The sequence below is a fragment of the Homo sapiens genome, chromosome 8 (assembly GCF_000001405.40).
Source record: "Homo sapiens chromosome 8, GRCh38.p14 Primary Assembly".
NCBI lineage: Eukaryota > Metazoa > Chordata > Mammalia > Primates > Hominidae > Homo > Homo sapiens.
In genome coordinates, this window is record NC_000008.11 from 14177012 (window position 1) to 14203431 (window position 26420).

Sequence of the window (26420 nt, forward strand, 5' to 3'; positions counted from 1 at the left end):
ATCACCAAGGTTTTGTGTAACGGTTGGTATACAGACAAGGATCGTAGAGAGTAAGCGATGAGTCACTGGGAAGGAGCATCTGTGGGGGAAATCCTGGAGTGGTCAGCAACATGCCTGTGGGGTGGAGTTGCCTCGCTGCTTGACTTCTGTGGGTTGCCAGATGAGTATGGGGACACTTGGAAAATGCCAGTGGGGACTGGGCACCTATTGCAAAAAGCTACGATATTAACCATAAGAATACCAAATGTGCTGTTGTTGCAATAAGGCTGGCTACTGAGAGCAGGGAAGGGAGAAAGGATTGAAACTCCTGCAAAAGACTGAACGCATGACAGGTTTTCTAGAACTCCAGATTGTTACATATTACGGCCCTTTCTTGTGAACATAATTTAACTGATGAGCAAGTTACAACAACAACAAATCAGCGCTCAAACGGTTAACCTACAAGTATAGAGTTAAGTAAAATCTTTTAAAGCTATCTGTTTCCTTTTTTGTTTGTTTGTTTGTTTGTTTGTTTTTGAGACGGAGTCTCGTGCTGTCACCCAGGCTGGAGTGCAGTGGCGCCATCTGGGCTCACTGCAAGCTCCGCCTCCCGGGTTCATGCCATTCTCCTGCCTCAGCCTCCCAAGTAGCTGGGACTACAGGCGCCCGCCACCACGCCCTGCTATTTTTTTTTTTTTTTTTTTTTTGTATTTTTAGTAGAGACGGGGTTTCACCGTGTTAGCCAGGATGGTCTCGATCTCCTGACCTCGTGATCCATTCGCCTCAGCCTCCCAAAGTGCTGGGATTACAGGCGTGAGCCACTGCGCCCGGCCCTCTGTTTCCTTTTCTATCTGCTTTGAATCTGCTGTTTTTAAACTACTGGTCTTGAGATAAAACTCAATGTTACTGCCAATTCAAGGCCACTTGGAGATTTTATTTTTCTTTTTTCCTTCTTTTCTTTTTTTTTCTTTTTTTTTTTTTTTTTGAGACGAAGTCTCACTCTGTCACCCAGGCTGGAGTGCAGTGGCATGATCCCGGCTCACTGCGACCTCTGCCTCCTGGGTTCAAGGGACTCTCGTGCCTCAGCCTCCCTAGTAACTGAGATTACAGGCATGAGCCATCACCCCCGGCTAATTGTGTTTTTGTGGAGATGGGGTTTCACCATGTTGGCCAGGCTGGTCTCGAACTCCTAACCTCAGGTGATCTGCCTGCCTTGGCCTCCCAAAGTGCTGGGATTACAGGCTTGAGCCACCACACCTGGCTGATTTTGTTTTTCTTATACAGTTCAGTCAGTTCTAGCTAAATGTAAATATTGAAACCATTTGAAGCTAAAGGAAATAAAAAGTAAAAGAGGTTTTTAGAATACAACTGCTATAGCAACTGCCTTACTCAAAATTTTGGTCCATAGCCGTCATTAGATTACCTATTGAGGCTAGCAAACCATGTAAACAGGTCCAAATTTTGTTAGAAATAATTTAGATCCAGCTGTCTTTTATAAAATAATGAGTTTATGATGCTTTCTCATGACTAGAGTTCTGAGATAAAGGCTATTGGATGTTTGTCTGTTGGATATTTTGATAAGCAAGACTAATTTGATACTATTGGTTAAGTGAGAACAGCTGAATTTTCTGAATCACCAGCAAAGATGCCCATGTGTTTAAACTTCTTGCTTAGGTAAACACCTGATATTCACAGGCTACACAAATGGTTAACAGGAGAATAACTTGGAATGATGACTAGTTTTGTCTAATGTCTAGGTTATCATGAATAATACAGATAAACTGTTAAAGATAAATAAATTGAGTAAATGTAAATGAGATAAATGCTTACAGGAGAAACTTTTATGTACTTCAAAAGCTTAAAATTATTTTAGGAACTCATTAAATGTCTAGGTCATTTCCAATGTAAAAAGGGTTACGACATGAGGCATTGGTCACACTTCTGAGCCCATTAATGGGAAATCAGTTCTGTGATAGGAGGAAAGCACTGGCAGACCTCATTGAGCTAAAGACAAGGATTGAGTCCATAAGGTAATCAGGAAACAAAAAGGAGATGGATGCTTGTACACTTGCCCCGGCCAAGGCAGGCAGTAAATGTAAAACAATATTATCTGCCAGGGGGACACTCTAAAACCACCCAAACAATCCAGAAATTATGTAAGATACAAATTGTCAGGTCAGCCCAAAGCCCCCTTCTCAACAGTCCCATGTGTCCTGTGAAAAAGCCAGATGGCATCTAGAGAATGACGGGAAATTATCATAACCTAAGCAATGTGGTGCCCCCTGTACATGCAGCCGTATCCAATATTGCTCAATTGTTAAAACAAGTGGTCCTTAGGCTGGAAAGCATCCACACTGTGAATGACTTGGGCTAATACCTTTTCTAGTATCCCTTTAGCAGAAGATTCACAAGACCAGTTCGCCTTTGCTTAGGAGGGCCTACAGTGGACTTTTCAGGAGCTACCACAAGGGTTCCTGCACATCCCCACTGTCTGTCACAGTCTGGTTGCACAGGACCTGTCTAGACTCTCTTTGCCCACCTCAGTCTCCCTGTTTCACTATATTAATGATAACATGCTAACCTCAGAGTCTCTTACAAATCAGGAGACTGCTCTACAAATAGTCATGGATGGCGTAAAAGACAGGAAATGGGAAGGTAATCCCCAAAAGATACAGGGGCTGAGCACAGTCATCAAATTCCTGAGAGTTCCCACTTGGGTAAGACATGTAACATACTCTAAGCTGTCACTGGTAACATGGCACACAGCAGCCTGTTCCCCAGACAGAAAACTAACTCCAGGTATTCCTATACTTACTGGGCTGCTAGAAGATACTCATTCCTCACTTGGTATAAACCCTCTACCCATTATACACCCCAATAAATAAAAAGTGAAAAAAAATCATCACTGGACACATATAGAGCAAGAGGTATTTGATGAACCAAACATATTGGTGAAACCGGCCCAAGCACTAGGGGCCTCTCTGCCACAGCACTCTTTTGTATTAGAAGTCACCAGAGATGCCAAAGGGATATATTGCGATTTGTGGCAAAAATAACCAATGAGAATGGTACCTGCAGGGTTTTGGTCTCAATTATGGAAGGAGGCAGAATCCCACCATACAGTCTTAGAGCAACGACTACTGGCCATGTATAGGGCAATGCAACAAGTGGAGCCCATCACCAAAAACAGTCTGTCACAATAAAAATCCCATAAAAGGGTGAGGGCGAGTTGAAGGCCTCCTAGCCAAGCCCACCTCCAGGGTGGCATAATTACACACCCTGCAGAAATGACACACTTATCTATAACAAAGGAGTGTCCTGATCACTAGTCCTTCAAGCACTGCAGGAAGTGCTTGGACCTATCCACTCTGAATGCGGGGAGGGGGCCAGCATGGCAGTGGAGCCACCTACCAGGCCAACCACCATATGGGGACCCCACTAATAACTCTAGGGCCTGGTACGCTGATGGGTCTAGAAAGAACGTATCCAACACTGAGCACTAGAACAAAATATAGACTGGAAGTCCCATTTATCATATAACCCAACATGCGCAGTCTCATTGAAGAAAAAAAAAATGACCTGTTAAAAACCGAATTGCCAGTACTGTTCCAGGAGTGCTCTTTAAGGCCCTGGACTAAGAATCTCCCTAAAGGGATACAAACTTAAAATAAGTCACCTACTACCACACATGGCATCACTCCCTATGAAGGTTTGTCATGGCCTTTAAAACAGGCCTGACAAACCCTCAGGGTTACCTCTGAAACTCCAAGCCATGCTCCTGAAGCAGGTGGCCAGACTGTGCTCCTGAGAACACCAATGGATCTGCCAAGTGGCGATGGCTATGTGAACCTGAATTTGAGCTGGACAGTGCCCCCATACTAGATTGGTTTTACGGCAGTGGGGAGTGCCATGAAGACTACCAGAAGGGAGGTGGTTCCAGCTATACTTGATAGAAATCTAAGAGGCTTACAATATCAACATGAGGCAGCACCAATACCTGTAGAGCAGTCATAGAGTCGATACCGTTTGCAAGGCCTGAATTTAGCAAGCGGCTATTATGCCCCCTCCTAGGGAGGGAAGCCATGTGTGATAGTCTAAGCCAGGCCTGAGGCCCACAGTAGTCTCCCTAATAGGGCCAACGGGAGAAAACCCAATGGTAATAATGTTACAAAAATGGATACATTTATGAGGGTCCCTACTAAATACCCGTGTTTTCAACCATAGGTGGTTATTCTTCCTACCTTGGGAGCTGAAAATATCTTTCTGAATTGGTCTGTGACTACAACAGCAATCAGCAACAAGTTCAATTGTTGGGTATATTGATACCTCCCCCTATCAAATGGTAATGGTGTGCCTTAAAATACTCTGCTTTTCTAATGACAGAACTAAAGTGACTGTTTAAAAAGAAATAGTAATACAACTCAGACTCACTGGGGATTGCATCCACCCAGAGGTAGGTGGGCATCCCCCATCCCCAAATCAACAGAGAACCAACATAAGCTCTTAAAGGCGTTACCTGTTGATATGGTTTGGCTGTGTCCCCACCCAAATCTCACCCTGAATTGTAATAATCCCCATGTGACAAGGGCGGGGCCAGATGGAGATAACTGAAGCATGGGGGTGGTTCCCCAATACTGTTCTCATGGTAGTGAATGAGTCTCACAAGATCTGATGGTTTTATAAACGGGAGTTCCTCTGCACAAGCGCTCTTGCCTGCTGCTATGTAATACATCCCTTTGTTCTTCCTTTGTCTTCCGCCATGATTGTGAGGCCTCCCCAGCCATGTGGAACTGTGAGTCAGTTAAACATCTTCCCTTTATAAATTACTCAGCCTTGGGTATGTCTTTCTTAGCAGCCTGAGAACAGACTAATACACCTGTTACAATTATAGCCCTGATAAACACAGTAATTTTACAAACACCTTAAATTATTTGTTAACTCAGAGCCATGAGTTAACCCAATTAGGTTTCTCTGACTCATTCTCAAATTGGTTACATACCTAACCTCAAATTGGAGATATGTTTTACTAGCAGGCATCATAAATATAGTTAGTTTCTCCTTTGCATGCTGCTATGTATACTGTATATGTGGCCTGTACGCATAAGCCATGGGTACACTTATAGGCCTGTATAGTTCTTCCTCTCATACTCTACTCAGGGACTCTGACACAAAATTGGGGGAAAGAATGCAAAATCTAGAGAACAGTATGGATTGTAGTGCTACAGATTCCACACAAGTTTGCTTAAGGGCATATGTCCACTGATTGAACCCTGAAGGCTGTGCAGTGAGCCAAGGCCATGATGCCCAGCCGAGCAGCAGGTTTCCCTGAGAATCCATACATCCTGGAGAGCATCTGAGAACCAACCAGGAAATCCAGTCTTATTGCTCAAGCACAGTAGGCATAGAGCCAGAAAATTAGCTAAAAAGCAATTTAGAGACAGGAGGCAGCGAGGATCTCCAAAGCTGTCCTGTTGCCATCCAGGAGTGCCCTGTATGGAAGCCTTACTCATCTACTCATCCAGCTGGACTTGTCCAACTCATTCTTTGGTCTCTGCTCCTTCTCAATCTGCAGAAGGGAAGAGAATATTATAGTACGAAGGTTTTCTCATAACAATGTAGATGGAAAAAATAATAAAGACAAGAAAAGGAATTAATGAAATGAAATATAGCATAAAATTTGTTAGATCAGTGATGACAAAAGTAGATTATAATAAGCAATAAAACTGACTAATGTATGGCCAGGCATGATGGCTCATGCCTATAATCCCAGCACTTTGGGAGGCCGAGAGGGGGCGGATCACCTGAGGTCAGAAGTTCAAGACCAGCCTGGTCAACATTGTGAAACCCCATCTCTACTAAAAATACAAAAATTAGCTGAGCGGGGAGGCAGGCACCTGTAATCCCAACTAGGTGGGAGGCTGAGACAGGAGAATCGCTTGAACCCAGGAGGCAGAGGTTGCAGTGAGCCGAGATCGTGCCATTGCACTCCAGCCTGGGCAACAAAGAGCAAAACTCCGTCTCAAAAAAAAAAAAAAAAAAAATTACTAATGTGTCGTAAAGTTGATTAAGAAAAAAATTAAACATTTGCAAATAAATAGTAATAAAAAACACATTATTACAAATATTACAGGTGTTAAAATGGTACAAATATTTCATGGCAACATTATAAATCTGAAAATTTTGTTGACATGAGTAGATGCCTACAAAATATTGCCAAATTGACTTAATCAGAAATAGAAAACCTGGATACTCCTGTAGTATTATAGAAACTACAGAAATAGTTAAAAATTTTTACATGTACACACACACACACACACACACAGATTCTAGGTTTTCAGGAAGAAAATGATAGAAAATCATAACTCTTCTTGAGAACAGAATAAAAATGGGAAACACTCTCCAACAGATTTCATGAGGTTAGTAGAATTTTGCCACAAAACTCAACAGAGATAGTACATGAAATAAAAATTACAAGATAATTTTGCTGATAAAATAAAAATCCTATGCACAGTATCTGCACATTATATTTACTCTGGGAATGTAAAGGTGGTTTATACTAGAAAATCATTAAATGTTTTAACTACCTTGAGAGTTTGAAAGAGAACACGGAATATTATCTCAGCATAGTTACAAAAATTGTTTCACAAAATTTAACACCACCCATGAGAAAAGCGTTTACCAAGCTTGCCAGCTTAACCTCTAATCTACCTATACGTATTAAACACTTGATAATAATGAAATATTGAAAGGTTTCCCTGTAAACTAAGAAAGGAGAAAACAATGCCTATTGTTAAGTTATATTAAGCATTATTCTGGAGGTCCTAACCAGAGGAATAAAACTAGAATGGAATAAAAGTATTGAATATGTTATAAGAATTGGAAAGAAATAAACAAAGCTAAATTACTCACAGATGAAATGACTCTCTATGTAAAAAAATTCCAAAGAATCCACAAAGAAATACTTATAGTTAAGAAGTGAACTTAGCAACGTCTCTGAATACAAGGCCAATATATAAATATCGATTTTATATTAGAAAACGAAAGGTAAATGATGCTATGTGCATTATGCACAACAGAATTACAGGTAAAACCATCATCATTTTCATATAATGTAAATTTATTCCACGAGTAACAAAGAATCTTAAAAAATCATTCTAATGATTAAAAATTTAACAAATTCCAGTATATTTAAGAATAAGTACTGATTTTAGGATTTTGATCTGAGTGTAGTTTTACATGGGCAAATGTGTACAGATTATCTGTGATCTCATATCAGCAGGAGCTAAAATATTCCCACCCCCAATAGCATCTTTATAACTCATACACTTATGGCCTGGACATAAATTAGAAACCAAGAAGCATTAATTTATCTTGAAGTCATATTTAAATGATTTTTAGTCTTATGTAATCCAGAGTATTAATTATCAATCAATTGAAAAGTTCTTTATTAAACATCCACTATATTTCAGGCATTATTAGGCTAAATGATAAATGTATTGAAATGAATAAGATATAAAGTTTCTGTATCAAAGAAGATTATTATATATTGGAACTACTAAACACTGTACAGAGCTGATAAAGCCAAACCTACACGGATTGTTTGATTATGTTATCAATGCTACTTCCTCACTAGAGGCATCACAGTCAAGCTATGGGTCCTCAAAAGTACATTATTTAAAAGTATCTAGCATAGTTTTGGACTAAAAACAGATATTTTCCAAATAAAGGAAAGCAGTGTTTAAGAAGAGAAGTACCTTAAACTATGGTTTTTCCATATGTGGGCTTAATCTTTCATGATTTTGGATCAGTTTACCTGATATTACTAGAGCAAATTTTGTTTAACAAAAGTGCCCCTCTAACTTAAAACTATACCAGAATACATTAGAGCATGAAGATTTAGTATCTTATAAAATATAGCACCACAACACTTATGATTGGTATAGCAATAAAATTTTTTATCATTATGTCTCTATCGTCTAATATTGACTAAGGGGTAGTAATTTTGTTTTTTAATTAGACTTTATAACATTTAAGTTTCTTTTCAACCTTTATAATACAGCAAATGCTTTAGTTATGTATTTGTACTACAAAATTTTTCCACGTCAAGCATTCAATCAAATCTGGCTTTCACCCAGGCACGGTGGCTCACACCTGTAATCCCAGCACTTTGGGAGGCCAAGAGGGGTGGATCACGAGGTCAGGAGATCAAGACCATTCTGGTTAACATGGTGAAACCCTATCCCTACTAAAAAGATACAAAAAAATTAGCTGCACATGGTGGCACATGCCTGTAGTCCTAGCTACTCGCAGGCTGAGGGAGAAGAATAGCTTGAACCAGGGAGGCGTAGGTTGCAGTGAGCCGAGATCACGCCACTGCACTCCAGCCTGGGCAACAGAGCAAGACTGTCTCTCAAAATAAATAAATAAATAAAATAAAAAAACAAAAAATCTGGCTTTCATTCTCATTACTCAGCTTCAATTGATCTAATCAATATCTACCATATACTTTATTTTTTTTCAAAATTCAGTGGCTTCAGACCTCATTTCATGTGATCTTTCTCACTAGCATCTGACTCATTCAAAAACTGTCTTCTTCCTTAAAAGCTCCTCTCATAGTACTTTTGTGAAATCATATTCTCTTGACTTTTCTTCTATCTTACTACCCATTGTTTTGTTTTGTTGTGTTTTGTTTTGTTTTGTTTTGGTCTATATCCCTGCTCACTCATCGTCTTTCTATTCTCTAAATATTTACATGTCCTGGAGCTCACAGTAAAGACTCTTAAACTGTGTTGTATGTAAAAAGTCTCCAGCACAAAAGAAAAACAAATGAAATTGAGCAGACCCCTTCTCTACTTATATTCATTTATCTTGGAGTTCTCATTTAGGTTCATGGCTTTAAATAATATCTACATGTTGAATCCCAAATTCTCACCATGTCCAGTAATATTCACCTTGGAATCTGCGTTTCTAATCATATGATTAGTTTGGATATCTAATAGGCATTGGATGTTAGTTTGTCCCAATACAACCTTTGAGTTGCACACACTTGCCAATTTATTTTTTCCTTCTATAATCCTCTTCTCAGGGAATGGGGCCACAGGGCTCCCCAGTAATTTAGCGCTCTACTACTAGAGTTCCTTGTCTCAGGTTCCTTTTCTGTAATGACAATGTGAAAGCTTGGCTAACATGCCGTCCAGTAAAACAGCTTAAAATCATTTTGAAAACAACAATTTAATGTTTCAGGAAATGGTCTAAAGGACATGCAGCAAGTGAAGAAATATTTATTGAAGAAAATTTTTTAAACAGCAGAAGCAGAGAGAGACTGTATCATTTTAGCCATGAATCTCTCTATTTCCTTCCCACCCCATCCTAATGTGATGGAAATTCCACTTTATGTAGGTGCAGCCAAGAACACAGGAATCCTTCTTCATCTATGTCACAGTATTTTCCCAGCAGAGGGAGATGTCAACATTTCTTAAATCCATGGCCCTGGCCCTGGTTCTTTCATAGGATGGAGGGTCCAGGCCACGATAGGCTAGACAAGAAGACTAAAGGCACTCCCCAACCCCTACTATAACAAGTGCTTAGTTCCTAAGCAGAGATTTTACTGAGAGAGAAACTTACCACTTTTTCTGCTTTCGGATACACAGCTATAGTGCAGACATTTTGCGCAAGGAGAGAGGCAGGCTGTAAAACAGGGGGTTCTGAAGCCTATTCAAATGAAAGCTTTATTTGCCACAGTGCTAGAAGAAGTTCAAACCTAAAAGTACTTTATAAAATAATGTTGTGATGAAAGTAATTAAAAGGAGACCAAAACTTCATCGGAGACATATTGCTAGGCTACAGGGTAGCTAGTTTAGTGAGAGAGCCAGGCAAAGAGACAGTTAAGAGCTCTGAGTCAGAACAAATTTCAAAACTGAGCTGAGAAACTATTCCTGGAAAAAAGTTGGGATTTAACTGCATCAGTCCATGGAGCAATTCATGCCCCAGATCATTCTTGAAAACAATTGATAAACTCTACCAATTGCTGGCTGATTATCAGCTGGGTCTGGGTCAGGGAAAGAGAAGTCAAAGAGAGCACTGTCATTCTAAGGTGGCTGAGTACACATGCCTAAGACTGTACCCTCTGAGGAACTGTGGGTCAGGGAAGAGGCAAAGGATAAAAACAGACTTTAATAAATTAATCCAGTTCATCATTAAACAAACAAGTAAACAAGTTCTAAGAGTTGGGGAGTGAGGAAATCCAGAGTTGGGATTATCCAGATTTCTCAAAATATGTTACCTAAATTTTCCAATGTTCAACAAAATTATGAGATAAATGTTTTAAAAACCCGAGAAAAGTCTGAACCATAGATGAGGAAAAAAGCAGGCAACAGAAACTGCTTGTGAGAATGAGCAAATGTCAGACTTAACCAAGAATTCAAAGTAAACTTTATAAATATGTTCAAATAATTGAAGACAACTATTTTGAAGAATTAAATGCAGGTGTGATGAAATGTCTAATCAGATGGAGAATATCAACAAAGATATAGGAATTATAAATGAATCAAATGAAAATTCTGGAGTTGAGAAATATACTGATTGAAAAAAATCACTAAAGTGTTCCACAGTAGATTTAAACTGGAAGAAAAAAAGAATTAATGATATTAAAGATAATAGAGATTATAAAATCTGTAGAGAGAAAAAAGAATGAAAAAAATGACAACTGCAGGACACCATTAAGAATGTGAACGTGTGTGTAATAGGAATACCGGAGTAGAGGAAAGGAGAAGAAAACATTCAAAAAAGTAATGACTAAAAATTCCTTAAAGTTTATTGAAAAACAATAAAGTACACATTCAGAAAACTCAGAGAAATTCAAATAAGATAAACACAAAGAGACCCACACATGGATGCATCATAATAAAAATGATGAAAGCCAAAGACAAGGTGAAAATCTTGAAAGGAGCAAGAGAAAAATGACTCATTGGTTATAAGGAATGCTTAATAAGGTTAACAGCTGGCCTCTCATCAGAAACAATGGAGAGGAAGTAGTAGGACAGCATATTCAAAGTGTTCAGATTTAAAAAAAAAGTCAACCAAGAGTTCTATAGGCAGCAAACTATCTTTTAAAAATGAAGGCAAGATAAAGATATTCCCAGATAAAGATTGAGCAAATGTGTTTCTAGCAGACCTATGTTATAAGAAATAGTGAAAGGAAATTCTTCAGGCAGAAAGCAAGTACATTCTGAAAGTAATTCAAACTTACACAAAGAACCTAGTAAAGAGAGTTATACCAGCATCAGAAACAGAATACATGCATATTTCTTCTCTTTTCTTCCTTTGTGTGATTTAAAAGGCAAATGGATCCGTACAGTAAAGTTTTATTTGGCCTTAGAAAGGAATGGAGCAGTGATACGTACTGCAACATTAGTAAACCCTGAAAACATTATGTTTGGTGAAAAAACCCAGTCACAGAAGACTACATTTTATATGGTTATATTTATATTAAATGCTCAGAATATAAAAATCTTTGAATGCAGAAAGTAGGGTAGTAATTGCCTAGAGGGGTGGGACAGGTCTGTCGGTGCTGAGAGCGAAAGGGTTCAGAGTTTCTTCTGGGGATAATGGAAAAATTCTGAAATTGACTGTGGTGGCACAATTCTGTTAATATATTAAAAACCACTGCATTGTACATTTAAATGGATGAATTGTATGATATGTGAATTATATTCCAATAAAGCAGTTAAAACTCTTCTAGCAAGTTTCATTGATTCATCCTTCAACACATATCCAAAATAATAATCCCACTTTTTCCAGATTTCTTGTTTTTTTTTTGTTTGTTTGTTTCTTTGTTTTTTTTTGTTTGTTTGTTTTTTGAGATGGAGTTTCGCTCTTGTTGCCCAGGCTGGAGTGCAATGGCACATTCTCGTCTCATTGCAACCTCCATCACCCGGGTTCGAGCAACCTCCATCACCCGGGTTCAAGCAATTCTTCTGCCTCAGCCTCCTGAGTAGCTGCGATTACAGGCACCTGCCACCACGCCCAGCTTTTTTTTTTTGTATTTTTAGTAGAGATGGGGTTTTACTATGTTGGCAAGGCTGGTCTTGAACTCCTGACCTCAGGCCATCCACCCGTCTCAGCCTCCCAACGTGCTGGGATTACAGGCGTGAGCCACTGCACCTGGCCCCTCTTGTGTCTTCTTTGTCAAAACCACTATCATCTATAATCTGGGCTGCTGAAACGCCAATCTTAGTGGGTAACTCTGCTTTCCATCTTGTTGCTTTACTTCCCAATATATCTTCTTCACACAGAAGCCAGAGTCATATATTTTTAAATGAAAATCAAACTGTAAGCCTTTTCGTTTCAAATCCCTTCAACAGCTCCTTATATTACTCAGAACACATTCTCCCTTTTCAACACGGTCTGGAAGACCTCTCTGGTTCTTGCTTCTCTTTCAGTACTCATCTCAATCTCTGCTTTATTCCCAATAATCCTTTTGCCATTTCTTAAACACAATGACTTTGCTACACACACAGGCTTTTACACTTTCTGATCCTTCACCCTGACATGTTCTCAGCCGGATCTTCGTGTGCTTTGCTCATTGTTTTATTTAGCTTTTCATAATGAGCCGTCTGCTCAGAGAGCTCAGCCCTGACCACTGTCTTCTTCCTGTGTCCTCTCTAGAGAAACTTGCTATGTCCTTTACATTGTTGGTGGCCTTACCTGACCATGATATCTGAAACAATCCCATTCCTCCCATCACTTTTTTCCACTTTAACCTGCTTTGTCTTATCACTTTTGTTTGCTTGGCTATTTTTGAATACCTCACTAAAATACATGCTTCATTACTTCCAGGATTTGTATCTGTCTTGCTCATCTCTGCATCTTCAGTGATTAAAATGTTTCTAACCTGTAAGAGAAGTTCAATAACTACTGATAGAAAATTTGTTTATTTAATAAGCTTCTTCCATTTAGCATAATGTCCTTTAGGTTCATCCATGTTGTCAGAAATGGGAGAATCTACTTTTTCTTTCTTTCTTTCTTTTTTTTTTTTTTTTGAGACGGACTCTTGCTCTGTCACCCAGGCTGGAGTGCAGTGGCGCCATCTTGACTCGCTGCAAGCTCCGCCTCTGGGGTTCACGCCATTCTCCTGCCTCAGCCTCCTGAGTAGCTGGGACTACAGGCGCCCGCCACCACGCCCGGCTAATTCTTTGTATTTTTAGTAGAGACGGGGTTTCACCGTGTTAGCCAGGATGGTCTCGAACTCCTGACCTTGTGATCCGCCCACCTCGGCCTCCCAAAGTGCCAGGATTACAGGCGTGAGCCACAGCACCCCGCCAGCGGAATCTACTTTTTTAAGGCTGAATAATATCCCATTATGTATGTATGTATGTATGTGTGTGTGTGTGTATATATATATATCAATAAAGTGTGATATATATATATCACACTTTCATTATTGATACGTCTATCAACAGACACTTCCAATGTTTTAATATCACAATTCAATAGTGAATACTGGTGCAATGGACATGCAAGTGCAGATATCTTTATGAGGTGGAGAATTAATTTCCTTTGGATATGTACACAGAAGAGGGATTGTTGGATGACATATAAATCTTCTCTTAATTTCTTTTTTTGTTTTTTTGAGATGGAGTCTCGCTCTGTCGCCCAGGCTGGAGTGCAGTGACGCGATCTCGGCTCACTACAACCTCCACCTCCCAGGTTCACACCATTCTCCTGCCTCAGCCTCCCAAGTAGCTGGGACTACAGGTGCCCTCCACCACGCCCGGCTAATTTTTTATATTTTTAGTAGAGACGGCGTTTCACTGTGTTAGCCAGGATGGTCTCAATCTCCTGACCTTGTGATCCACCCGCCTCGGACTCCCAAAGTGCTGGGATTACAGGCATGAGCCACCACACCCGGCTAATTTATTTAAGAATATCCTTACTTGTTCCACACTGGTTACATCAATCTACATTCCCACCAAAAGTGTACAAGGATTCCCTTTTCGTCACATCCTCGTCAACACCTGTAATGACTCGTCTTTTTGATATTAGCCATCCTGACAGGTATGAAGTGATAAATTATGGTGGTTTTGATTTGCATTTCTCTCTTTACTGATATTGAATACCTTTTCATATATGTATGAGTCATTTTTATGTCTTTGGAAAGATGTCTGTTAAGGTTCTTTGCCCATTTTTAAATTGGGTTATTCATTTTTTTTCTTGCTATTGAGCTGTGTTATATATTTTGAATATTGACCTTTATCAGTTACATAGTCCAAATATATAATCCTTTAATCCATATGCTGCCTTTTCATTTTGTTGATTATTTCCTTTGCTGTGTTGAAAGTTTTTAGTTTGATACAACCTCACTTATTTTTGCTTCTGTTGCCTGCGCCATATGACACTATCCAAAAAATCACTGCCAAGGTTAATGTCAAAGAGTTTTTCCCCTTATGTTTTCTTCTAGGAATTGCATGATTTGGGTCTTAGGTATAGATCTTTAATCCATTTGGAGTTGATTTTTGTGTACGGTGTGATATAAGGCTCTAATTTTATTCTTTGGTATGTATCATTTGGAAATGTACAAAACACCTCAACTTACATCTCACTGTGTAAAACTCAAACACACCTGGCTGCAAGGGAAATGTGTAACCCTGAGCTGGCCAGTTGGTTATATGTGCATCTAGAACTTGAGATTGTATCACTAAAAGAGAATGGTAAAAATCGTAAAGAGAAGAGAGAAACTAAGGGTATGTGAAACATCATACAAATGTTTTTATATTGGAAATTAATCTTGATTATATTTCAGACTTCGAAGAAGCCCAGAGTCAAAGTTCATGTGCTTCTTTCTATGATTCTTTTAGCTAGTAATGACTGGACTCCATATCCTGTAGGATTCCTCAACCTAGTCATAATACTGAAATTTTATCTAAAAAAAAAGTAAAATACTGATCCTTTTACCTGTAAATAAAGTATAGGAAAGCTCAAAGAAGATATTTCTTAATAACCCTTTGGTCACACTTTGTATAAACATACTATTAATAGGAGGTAATACAAAATTCTTATGACCTGTAGAAAAATGTCATTTAATCAATTGTATTTAAAATCAAAGCACATATATATAAAGTGGTACTTCCTAAAAAAATACTGGTCAAGTGAAAATATTTCTTCATAAACTTTCACATGGGTAGTGCTTTACAGTAAAAACAGAAAATAGGTAATTGTATTATCTTTTTATTTAGCAATTATTATGCTTACCAAATTTTTGCATTTGAAATAAAGATATATCCCAAGGTAGTAAAGAATACTGCTGTATTTAATGTTAATAGTGGTCAGCTGGACAACTACCATCAAATATTCTTATCTAACCTGAATTTTCTTCTTTGTAACACATAATTTTCATATTGCTACACGCTTTTTATTTTTTATAACTAGATCTCTAGTGTTTTCTCATGTATAATTTGGAAAAGCAATATCCCATTAAGATACTGAAAGTCTTTGTTATCTCCCAGAATTATTTTATAAAACTTACCCATACAATAACTCTGAATACATTGCATATGATATTTGAGTTTTTATTCAAGAGTTCTATCCAAGAATATGCTTATTATTAGCTATTTTACCTGATTCTACATTACTTTTCTTCTCAGCCTTCATCTTCATTAATTAGATAAGAATGAAATTGTTGTCATTGAAGTAGTTTCTCAATATTATATTTATGCTATTTCAGAATATATTATTAAGCTATTGTTAGACATAAACTTCTGTAACAAAAACAATGGAAAGTTTTCATGGCCACGTTTACATTTAGAATACAATTTTCATTTGCAAAATTAAATTATTATGGAGACCAGCCTGAAATAATGTAATAGAACATGAAATAATCAGTGCAGTATTTCTTGAGACTATACTTTATACATTATATGTTTATGATTGGTGTACATGTCCGTGTATATTCAAAGGTATGATTAAATCTTTTTAAAGTTGCCACAGTTACATATATGCTGACAAAGCTTTTCTAAATATACAAATTATGGTTATATTGGCAGAATGGGATACTTTTCCCAAAGATGTGTCTATGAAAGACTGTATCTTATAGGCTGTCAAAATCTTTTTTCTATATTATTATTCTTAAATCAAGTTTTCTTTTTTGACAAAGTAATGGATTCATATGATGTGAAATTTAAAATCATAAGCTACACTACAGAAACATCCATTTTACTCCTGCCATGTATATGTCTACCTTTTCCACTACATGGAATAATTTTGTTATTTGTGATATATTTTTTTCATTTTTAGCAGAGGCAAGCACAAATCATCATCTCCCTCTTTCCTATAAAAAATGCAGCATGCTATTTTTTTTACAATGTTTGACCATTGTTTTTCATGTAACAGTTGAATGAGTGAGAGAATATATAATAATGCTATCTGAGTATGTATGTAACTGTGGCAACATTAAAATGGTTTAATCATACCTTTCAATATACACGGACATATACACCCATCATAAACATATAATATGTGAAGTATAATCTCAAGAAATACAGCACTGATTATTTCATGTTCTATTAAATGATTTCAGGCTGCTCTCTACAATAATTTAATTTTGCACATTAAAATTGTATTCTAAATGTAAATGTGGCCATGAAAACTTTCCACTGTTCTTTGTTACACAAGTTTATGTCTAACAATAGCTGAGTATATTCTGAAATAGCATAAAGATAATATTGAGAAACAACTTCAGTGACAACAAACTTATCTAACTTGTCTGAATGTCTAGCTTGTCACCCTTGTCCAGTCCAACATGTATTTGTTTTGTATTTGCATAAAATTATTCTGATATGTTGTAAACGCTTTTGGTTTAATAAAGAAACTCCTACCTTGAACATGTTTTAGGAGTCATTTTGATTAATATATAATATTAATTTTGATTAATATACTATGTTAATTAAATTTTCACCTGACAATGAAACTGGAGGGATAGCTACATAACATAACTAGAATTTCAAATTATCTTGACAAGTCAGCATGATGGGACAATAGTTTTTTTTAAATATATATTGAAACAAATAACATATATTTCTCATGGAAATAAAGAAACATTCTGTGAAAAACTACTCAACAATATAATACGTAAGAGATTTATCCACATTTATAAATAATTTTTGTTTGTTAGACAACTATGTTAGATGCCTTTAAAAGGTAAATATTATCTTAGACTGTATAGATAGAAATGCAATAGTGGTAAGCAAGAAAATGATTATGCTGAACTCTGGATTGATCAAAACATGAATGTTTGGAATACTGTAGTTTATTCTGGGTATTTTTTGATGTCTGATTGAAAACGAGACCAGAGTAAGTCACCCCAGCTAGTGAAGAGATATAAACTTCAGTTAATACTGTGATATTACTAATACAAGTCTAATGTAATCTTAGTTTAATTAATAAGAGTACTATATAAAGAACAGAGGCTGAGAGAGAACTTCTCTCATTGTGGTCATACTTTGCTTGAGTATTCATTTATGTTTGGGACTCTGAGGTTAAAGAAGGATGTTGGCAAGGCTAGGAATAATAAAATAGTAAACCAGGAATAATAACATAATAATAAAAATAATAAATACATTTTTCTGCTTCTGGCCAATATAGAGTTATGGGATCCAAGTTACTTTCTCATCTGAAACAGGAACAAAATACAAAATATATAATTCTGGTTTTCAAGACATTGAACATCAGTAAATGCAGCACAATAATACAAAAGAGGCAGAAACAAATTATATAAGCCATGTGATTACTGCAGATTACCATTTTAAGAGAGCTGTGAATAGTGCCTACTAGATTTGAACAAAGCAAAAGCTCATAGGCCATGGGGCACTGGTATTGTAACTCTTGAATCATAATTCATAATGAGGAATGATTAGCTTTACACCTAGCAATGCTATGATCTGCCAAAGAAACCTCACGTGCAGAATTCAGAGGGTTAATCTGTTCAACTAACTTAATTGCAACCAGAAATAAGTTTAAGAATATTTATAGAAACCCTAATATACCTAGCACCAAAAAGTAAAATGTACATCAAATATTGAAAGATTACTAGGCATTAACAGGAGCAGAAAAACATTAACCATAACGAGGATTTTAGCCAATTAAAAGTGACCCAGAATTGACAGTATTTACACAAGTGTTCAAACATGCATAAATGGACATTAAAAACATGTATTATAACTGTCTGCTGTCTGGAGAAAAGTCAGGGACATGTATTAAAAAGACCCAAATCAAGCTGCAGTAGGATGAAAAACTACATTGAGACGGAGAATACGCTGAAAAGGGTTGACAGCAGATTAGACATTACAGCTGAAAATATAAGTGAACTCAGTCCATAACAATAAAGAAAAAATTAGAATAAAAAAATGAGAATTCAGTGATTTTTGAAACAACTTCAGCTGAGTTCACGTACTTAGAATTTGGAGTCTCTGAGGAAGAACAAAAGGGGATCAGAAGACAGAAAAAAATAATTGGAGAAATGATGGGATAAAGTTTTCTAAGTTTGATGAAAATCACAAAACCACATCTCAACAAATCCTCAGCACAAAAATACAAAGAGGACTATGCCAAATAAAAACACAATCAAAATGCTGAAAATCAGTGATGGAGTCAAAATTTTAACAGCAGTCATAAATAAAAGACACTTTTGTACATAGAGTAACAAAGATAAGGAAGGCAGCTGATTAATACTGGAAAAAATGCAAGTGATGACATAGGAGAGCAATATCTTTAAAATGCCAAAACAATAACAAAAACAATGGATGACTCCCAATTCTACACATAATAAAAATATCCATCAAAGTAAGTGAAAAAGACAATTATAGATGTAGAATTACTGAATAAATCATCTCTAGCAACCTGCACTATCGGGAATGTTAAAGGAAGTTTTTCAGGGAGAATGCAAATGACATCAGATGGAAATATGAATCTATACAGAGAAATAAAGGGTAGTGACCACCTGAGTAAACACAATTTTCTTATTATTTAATCTATTTAAAAATGACAGTTTAAACAAAAATAATAATGTTTTGTGGCTACTGTATCTCTACAGTATCCAAAATTCAGGAGAGGAGAAATGGATGTACACCAGTCTAGGGTTCTATTGAAATGGTATAATATCACTTGAAGATGGACATAGATAAGCTATAGATTTATATTATGAACATTAAAGCAATCAGTAAAATAATGAAGCAACTAAATCAATAAGAAGATAAAATAAAATACTAAATTAATTAGAGTAATTTTTTTTTTTTTTTAAAGACGGAGTTTCGCTCTTGTTGCCCAGGCTGGAGTGCAATGGTGTGATCTCCTGTCACAGCAACTTCCGCCTCCTGGGTTCAAGTTATTCTCCTGCCTCATTAATTGAAAGACAGAAAGAGAGACAATAACAAGTGGTGGAAAATTTGTGGAGTTACTTGAAATGCAAAATTTTTCAGCCACTGTGAAAAAGAAATTGGTTATGTTTTAAATAAACACAAATTGACTACATGAAACAGCGATTTCACTGCTAGCTATCAATGCAAGAGAAATAAAAACCTACGTATATACACTAATTTGTACATTGGTGTTTAATGGCATTATTCTTAATAACTGCAATCTGAAAATGATCTATATGTTCATCGACTGGTAAATGAATAAACAACAGGTAGTAAATGTATGCAATGGAATATATTCAGAAGTAAAAGTAATAGACTAATGGCATATGCTGCAACATTGATGCACCTTAGAAGCATGCTACGTGAAAGAAACCAGCCGCCAAAACTATACAAGTTAAAAATTAAAAGAATGGAAAAATATTTGCCATGCTAGCAAGTAAAATGAAAACAAAATTGAATACTTCAATATCAAATAAATTCTAATTTAAAGCAAATATCCAGAAATGCCATATTTATATATAGAGAAAATAAATTCATGGATGACGGAAAGGCATATAGGACAGGAAAATGACTGCAAATGGACAATAAGTACATTTCAAAGGTAACAGAAATGATTCAAAATTGGATTGTGGTAATGGTTGCACAACTGTAAATTTGCTAAAAATCATTAAAATGTACATTTAAAATGAACATGTTTAATATCATGTAAATTAAATAGCAATACAGTTGTTATAAAATAAAGTTTCCTAAGGAAAGTGAAGGTCCGGATGGCTTTCTTTGGCATAATAATGGCATAATAACTAATTCTACTAAATATTTAAGCAAAAAATAATACTAATTCTCAACTAAATGTTCCTGAATATAGAAATGAAGGGAACACTTCACAACTTATTGTGACACGAATGTTACTCTGATACCAAAATTACACAGCTACAACAAGAAGGTAGAACAATATCCTTCATGAAAGAAGAACATCCCAAGTCTTCAATGTATTGGATAATCATAATTATGAACAAATCAAATAAAGCAATATTAATAAAAATGATAATACATCATAGATAATGTTGTTTATCACAAGAATGCAAGGCTGGTATGTTCAGCCTTTGAAAAATCTACCAATATAGTTCATTAAATTATGCCAGATCAAATTAAAAAAAAACAAATAATTATCTTAGTACCTAGAGAAAAAGCTTCTGTCAAAATTCAAATTACATTTATTATAAAATCTTCTTAATAAATTGGGAATGAAAAGAAATTTCCTCTACCTTATAAAGGGCATTTACAGAAATCCTAAATCTAACATCATATTTAATATTCAAAACCTAAGTGCTTTTCCCCTAAGTTTCAGTTTAAAAAGCAAAAATGTCATTCACCACTTTATTTTGCATCACACTAGAGGTCTTAGCCAGAATAATACAACCAAGAAAAATAAATGAATAACACAGAGTCTGGAAAAAACTTAAACAATTTCTATTCTCAGATGACCTGATTCTCTAAATATAAAATTAAAAAATATATATAAAGTTACTAAAAGAATGTTATTTTAGCAAGTTTGCAGGAAACAAGCTCAATATACCAAAAATTAATTGTGTATCTTTACACTGGAAAGGGATTATTAGGAATTAAACTTAATATTTTTATAGCACAATAATACATTATAGCAGTCCTCACTTAACTGTGGTTATTAAATGGAAAATTCCAGAAAGAAACAATTCATAAGTTTTAAACTGCATGCTGTTCTGAGTAGCATGATGAAATCATATGCCATCTCATTCTGTCCCACCTGGGACATGAATCAGTCAGCCGTTTGTCTAGCATCTCCATGCTGTCTCTGCTATCACTCTGTAGTCATTTGCAAGTTTTTCAGTTATTAGATTAACTGTCATGGTATTATAGTGATTGTGTCCAAGTAACCCTTATTATACTCCATGATAGACCCAAAGCACAAGATTAGCAAAGCTGGCAGTTTGGTTCTGCCAAAGAGAGGTGTTAAAGTGCTTATTTTAAGTCAAAAAAGGAACAATGGACATTAGGGAATATAAGAGGGAAGAAAGGAGAGAGCCAAGGGTTGTAAAACTACCTATTGAATAGTATGCAAACTTCTTTAATGATCCATTCAGTTGTAGTACAAACCCCAGTATCATGTAATATACCTCAGAAACAAATTGCACATGTACACCAGAATCTAAAATAAAAGTTGAAAAAAAAGAGGAAAAAAAGAACTGATCTTTTTAAATCTTAGTGAACCTAGTTGTTATAAAATTGTGCTGCTAATATTCTGTTGCGTGAAGTCAGGGACCACAAACGGAGGGACCAGCTGAAGCCATGGCAGAAGAACATAAATTGTGATGATTTTATGGATGTTTATTAGTTCCCCAAATTAATACTTTTAAAATTTCTTATGCCTGTCTTTACTGCAATCTCTGAACATACATTGTGAAGATTTAATGGACACTTATCACTTCCCCAATCAATACTCTTGTGATTTCCTATGGCTGTCTTTACTTTAATCTCTTAATCCTGTCATCTTCGTAAGCTGAGGATGTATGTCGCCTCAGGACCCTGTGATGATTGTGTTAACTGCACAAATTGTTTGTAGAGCATGTGTGTTTGAACAATATCAAATCTGGGCACCTTAAGAAAAGGATAACAGCAATGTTCAGGGAACAAGGGAGATAACCTTAAACTCTGGCTGCCTGTGGGCCAGGCGGAACAGAGCCATATTTCTCTTCTTTCAAAAGCAAATGGGAGAAATACTGCTGAATTCTTTTTCTCAGCAAGGAACATCCCTGAGAAAGAGAATGTGTCCCTAAGGGGAGGACTCTGAAATGGCTGCTTTGGCGATGGCTGTCATAGCGGACAGATGAAATAAGCCCCTGTCTCCCATAGCACTCCCAAGCTTATTAGGACAAGGAAATTCCTGCCTAATAAATTTTGGTCAGACTGGTTGTCTGCTCTCAAATTCTGTCTCCTGATAAGATGTTATCAATGACAATGCATGCCCGAAACTTCATTAGTAATTTTAATTTCGCCCTGGTCCTTTGGTCCTGTGATCTCGCCCTGCCTCCATTTGCCTTGTGATATTTTATTACCTTGTGAAGCATGTGATCTCTGTGACCCACACCCTATTTGTACACTCCCTCCCCTTTTTAAAATCACTAATAAAAACTTGCTGGTTTTACGGCTCGGGGGGCATCACGGAACCTGCTGACGTGTGATGTCTCCCCCGGACACGCAGCTTTAAAATTTCACTCTTTTGTACTCTGTCCCTTTATTTCTCAGACTGGCCAAAGCTTAGGGAAAATAGAAAAGAACCTACGTGAAATATCAGGAGTGAATTTCCCCCGATATATTCTAACAATGTTAAGTGAATGAAGAAATAAACGCATTTCCTTTTTAAAGAAAAAATGTGAAAGTTCACGACTGACAATGAAAAAAATGGATTTTGAAGATCTAAGATCTTAAGAACAAATCTTCTATCCATACAATTCTAAAGAAGGAAAAATAAAATTTGATACTAGTTTTGCTGTTGTAACTCAAACTACAAAAGTTACAGCCATAGTGTGTGATAAGTGCTCAATTAAGATGAAAAAGACATTAAATTTTGGGGTTGACGACGTAAACAGAAACGTATTCTTATTGATAGCAATTGGGTCCGGTAGTATCCATGGTTTCTGACATCTCCTGGCAGTGTTGGAATATATCCCCTGTGGATAATGGGCACTACCATAATTACTTCAGTTTAAATGAAACTAAATACATACAAATTCTGTATGCTGAAAGCTTCAAATTACTAAAGAACACAACCAAAGAAGATCTAAATAAATGGTGGGATAGACTGTGTTCATGGATTAAAAGACTCAATATTGTTAAGATAATCGATTTTCCCTAAACAGGTATAGTCCATGCATTCTCAATAAAAATCCCAACATAAATTTTTGTAGAGATTGAAAGATGAATCTAAATTTGTTAGTGGAAAATTGAATAATCTAAAATAGCCAAAATTATTTTTATAAAGAAGAACATTGGACAACTCACTCTAACCAATTTCATGGCTCACTATAAAGAATCATGTACAGTGCAGTATTTTTAAAAGGACTGACCAATCGACCAATAGGATAAGGTAGAGAGCCCAGTATGAGACCTGAACATATAAAATAAATGATTTTCTGATCACAGATTCTGACGCAATTTAAAAGAGGTGTTTTTTTGTTTGTTTGTTTTGTTTTGTTTTTCCAACAAAACATGCTGGAATATATAGAAAAAATAAGTCAAAATAGATTATAAACTAGAAGCCTCAGAGTAGAGCATAGAATAAAGTCTTTGTGACCTTGAGTGAGTCAATGATCTTATTAACTATGGCACCCAAAGTATGATGCATTCTAAAATGAATGAATTAAAGTTCCTCAAATTTAAAAGCTGCTCTTTAAAACAGACTGTTAAAGGAATGAAGATACGTCACAGAGCAGGAGAAAATATTTGCAGAATTACATATCTGATAAACTTGGCCTCAAAGCATATACAGAGCTTTCAAAATTGAATAATTATAAAACAACCCACAAATAAAATCCATAAAACATGCAAACAGATATTGCATTAAAAGAAGGTATGCAGATGGAAAACAAAAACACAAAAAGATGCTCAATATAGCTAGTAATTAGGAAAATGACAATTAAAACTATTAAATACACATTGGACAAAAATGTTTAAATGGTGAAATAGCAAGTTTTGCTTTGGATATAGAATGAAGCGAAATGCTCATACAGGCAGGTAGAAATACAAAATTATATTAGCACTCTGAATAACATTTTGAAATGTTCTAATATGAATAAACCTACACTTATCATACAACGTTGCTATCCCTCCCCAGGTATTTATGTCATCAAATGAAAACTAATGTTCACAAAAAAAGCCTGTATGCATAAGCTTCTAGTGGCTTTATATCAAGAATCACCAAAAAAGACTGAAAAATATCTAAATGTCCTTTAACTTTCAAATGGATAGAGAAACTGTGGTACATCCATGCAACAGAATACTCCTTAGTAATAAAAAGGAACAAAATTGTTGATTCCTGCAACAATATGAATAAATTCAAATCCATTGTGCTGAGTGAAAGAAACCACACTCAAAGGCTACATATTGTGTGATTGTATTTATGTATTTCAGAACAGATTTACGTATTTCAGAACAGATAAAACCGTAGATCTAGAAATTGATGAGAAGTGTCAGGGGAGTGGATGCTAGGTTTGACTACCAAGGGGCATAATGTATTTGTTTGATACCTCTTGATTGTGGTTGTAGTTATTTGACTATATGCACCTGTCAAAGCTCACAAAGCTCTATACTGAAGTAGGAAAATTTAACTACACAAATTATACCTTCACAGACTCTTGTAAAAATGTGTTTATAGAAATGACAATTTCAAGATTATCAGAAGTATCACTAGTGAGATCTTTAAAAAACAACAACAATAACAACAAAACTGTTAGGTCTATCTTTTGCAAAAGGTGTACTATCTTTGTAACTTTTTAAAATATGAAAATATATGTAAGACTTAAATTTTAATGAACCAAACCATAATATGCAGAATAATGAAACCCCTCAGAACGCCCCACCTCCTAATCTTCAGCATTTGGGATTATGTTCTGCTACAATGGTTGCAGATAGAATTAAGGTTGCTCACCGCCTGACCTTAAAATAGGGAGAATATGCTGGATAATCCCAATGTCATTACAGAGTCCTTAGGATTTGAAGAGGGAGGCTAAAGAAGAGTCAGTGTTAGAGTGATGAAATGCAAAACGACTCATCCAGCCATTGCTGACTTTGAAGATGAAAGACAGTCACGGGCCAAGGGGTAAAGATAACCTCTATAAACTGGAAAGGGCAAAAAAGTTTGTCCTCCACAATTCTTAGAGTGGAACACAGTCCTGCTGACATCTTGATTTTAGCCCAGTGAGACCCATTTAGATTCTGACTCTCAGAATTGCATAATAATTTTGTGGTGGTGTAAGACACTAAGTTTGTGGTAATTTGTTGCAGCAGCCATAGATAACGAATGTACCAACTCTTGTCTATTTCATATTGGGTTTCACAAGGGAAAAAAAAATGAGAAAACTATTCATACTTGGATAATTTTTTTTAATACCCTACATTGACAAAAGGCAGATCAATGCAGTAAGTTTTATTCTAAAGCTAGGTTGGTATGAGAATAAATGCAAATATTTGATTAAGATGTTTCCATTGATCTCCTTTCAAGATATTTTATGAAATTTAAAGATCCCTTGGTAATTTTTAACATTAATATAGAAGTTAAATTGAATTCTTTTTTGTGGGTGTTTACAAAGTCATCTTCTTCCTTCCTAAACAGATCTCTCCTGACACATTTTAAAATAGCAGAAAAGTGCATTTACCTAAAGTCTTAATATTTGTAGATGATATGGATATGGTTTGGCTGTGTCTCCACCCAAATCTCATCTTAAATTATAACTCCGACAATTCCCACATCTTGTGGGAGGAATCAGGCGGGAGGTGATGGAATTATGGGGGCGGGTCTTTCCTGTGGTGTTCTCGTGATAGTAAATGAATCTCAGAAGATACGATGGTTTTAAAAATGGGAGTTTCCCTGTACAAGCTCTCTTTGGCTGCTGCCATCCATGTAAGATGTGACTTGCTTCTCCTCGCCTTCCACCATGATTGTGAGGCCTCCCCAGCCATGTGGAACTGTAAGCCCAATAAACCTCTTTCTTTTGTAAATTGCCCAGTCCCAGATATGTTTTTATCAGCAGTGCGAAAGCAGACTAATACAGATATATTTAGGTGTGTTTGAATTTTAACTTTCAATCTATAAAGACACATTAAATAGATGCTATTTGAATATTAAACAAATTGGTAAGTGCTGTTAAGACGAGAAGAGTGTAGGAGATCTTTTCTTATCTACGTTCATAAATGAGAAATTTTATCGGAGCTAAAGATAAGCTAATTATTTACCTTGGCTAACATAGAATGTTTTTATGTTTTTAATACCTAATACAA

General features: G+C 36.2%; 1 protein-coding gene across 4 annotated transcripts in view, besides 2 other annotated features; it reads right to left on the reverse strand.

Moving 5' to 3' along the window:
* The window catches only part of SGCZ (sarcoglycan zeta), a 1153587-nt gene that overhangs the window by 92167 nt on the left and 1035000 nt on the right, over positions 1–26420 (reverse strand). The gene's annotated exons all lie outside the window — the stretch shown is intronic.
* Positions 7699–7868: an enhancer, noted in NCBI's record as "experimental_101852 CRE fragment used in MPRA reporter constructs". NCBI's record gives its function as "activates a minimal promoter by MPRAs in K562 erythroleukemia cells, with activity observed for both the introgressed and non-introgressed 8:14042304 variant alleles {active_cell/tissue: K562}" and the evidence as "EXISTENCE:reporter gene assay evidence [ECO:0000049][PMID:34662402]".
* Positions 16798–16967: an enhancer, noted in NCBI's record as "experimental_101878 CRE fragment used in MPRA reporter constructs". NCBI's record gives its function as "activates a minimal promoter by MPRAs in K562 erythroleukemia cells, with activity observed for the non-introgressed 8:14051403 variant allele {active_cell/tissue: K562}" and the evidence as "EXISTENCE:reporter gene assay evidence [ECO:0000049][PMID:34662402]".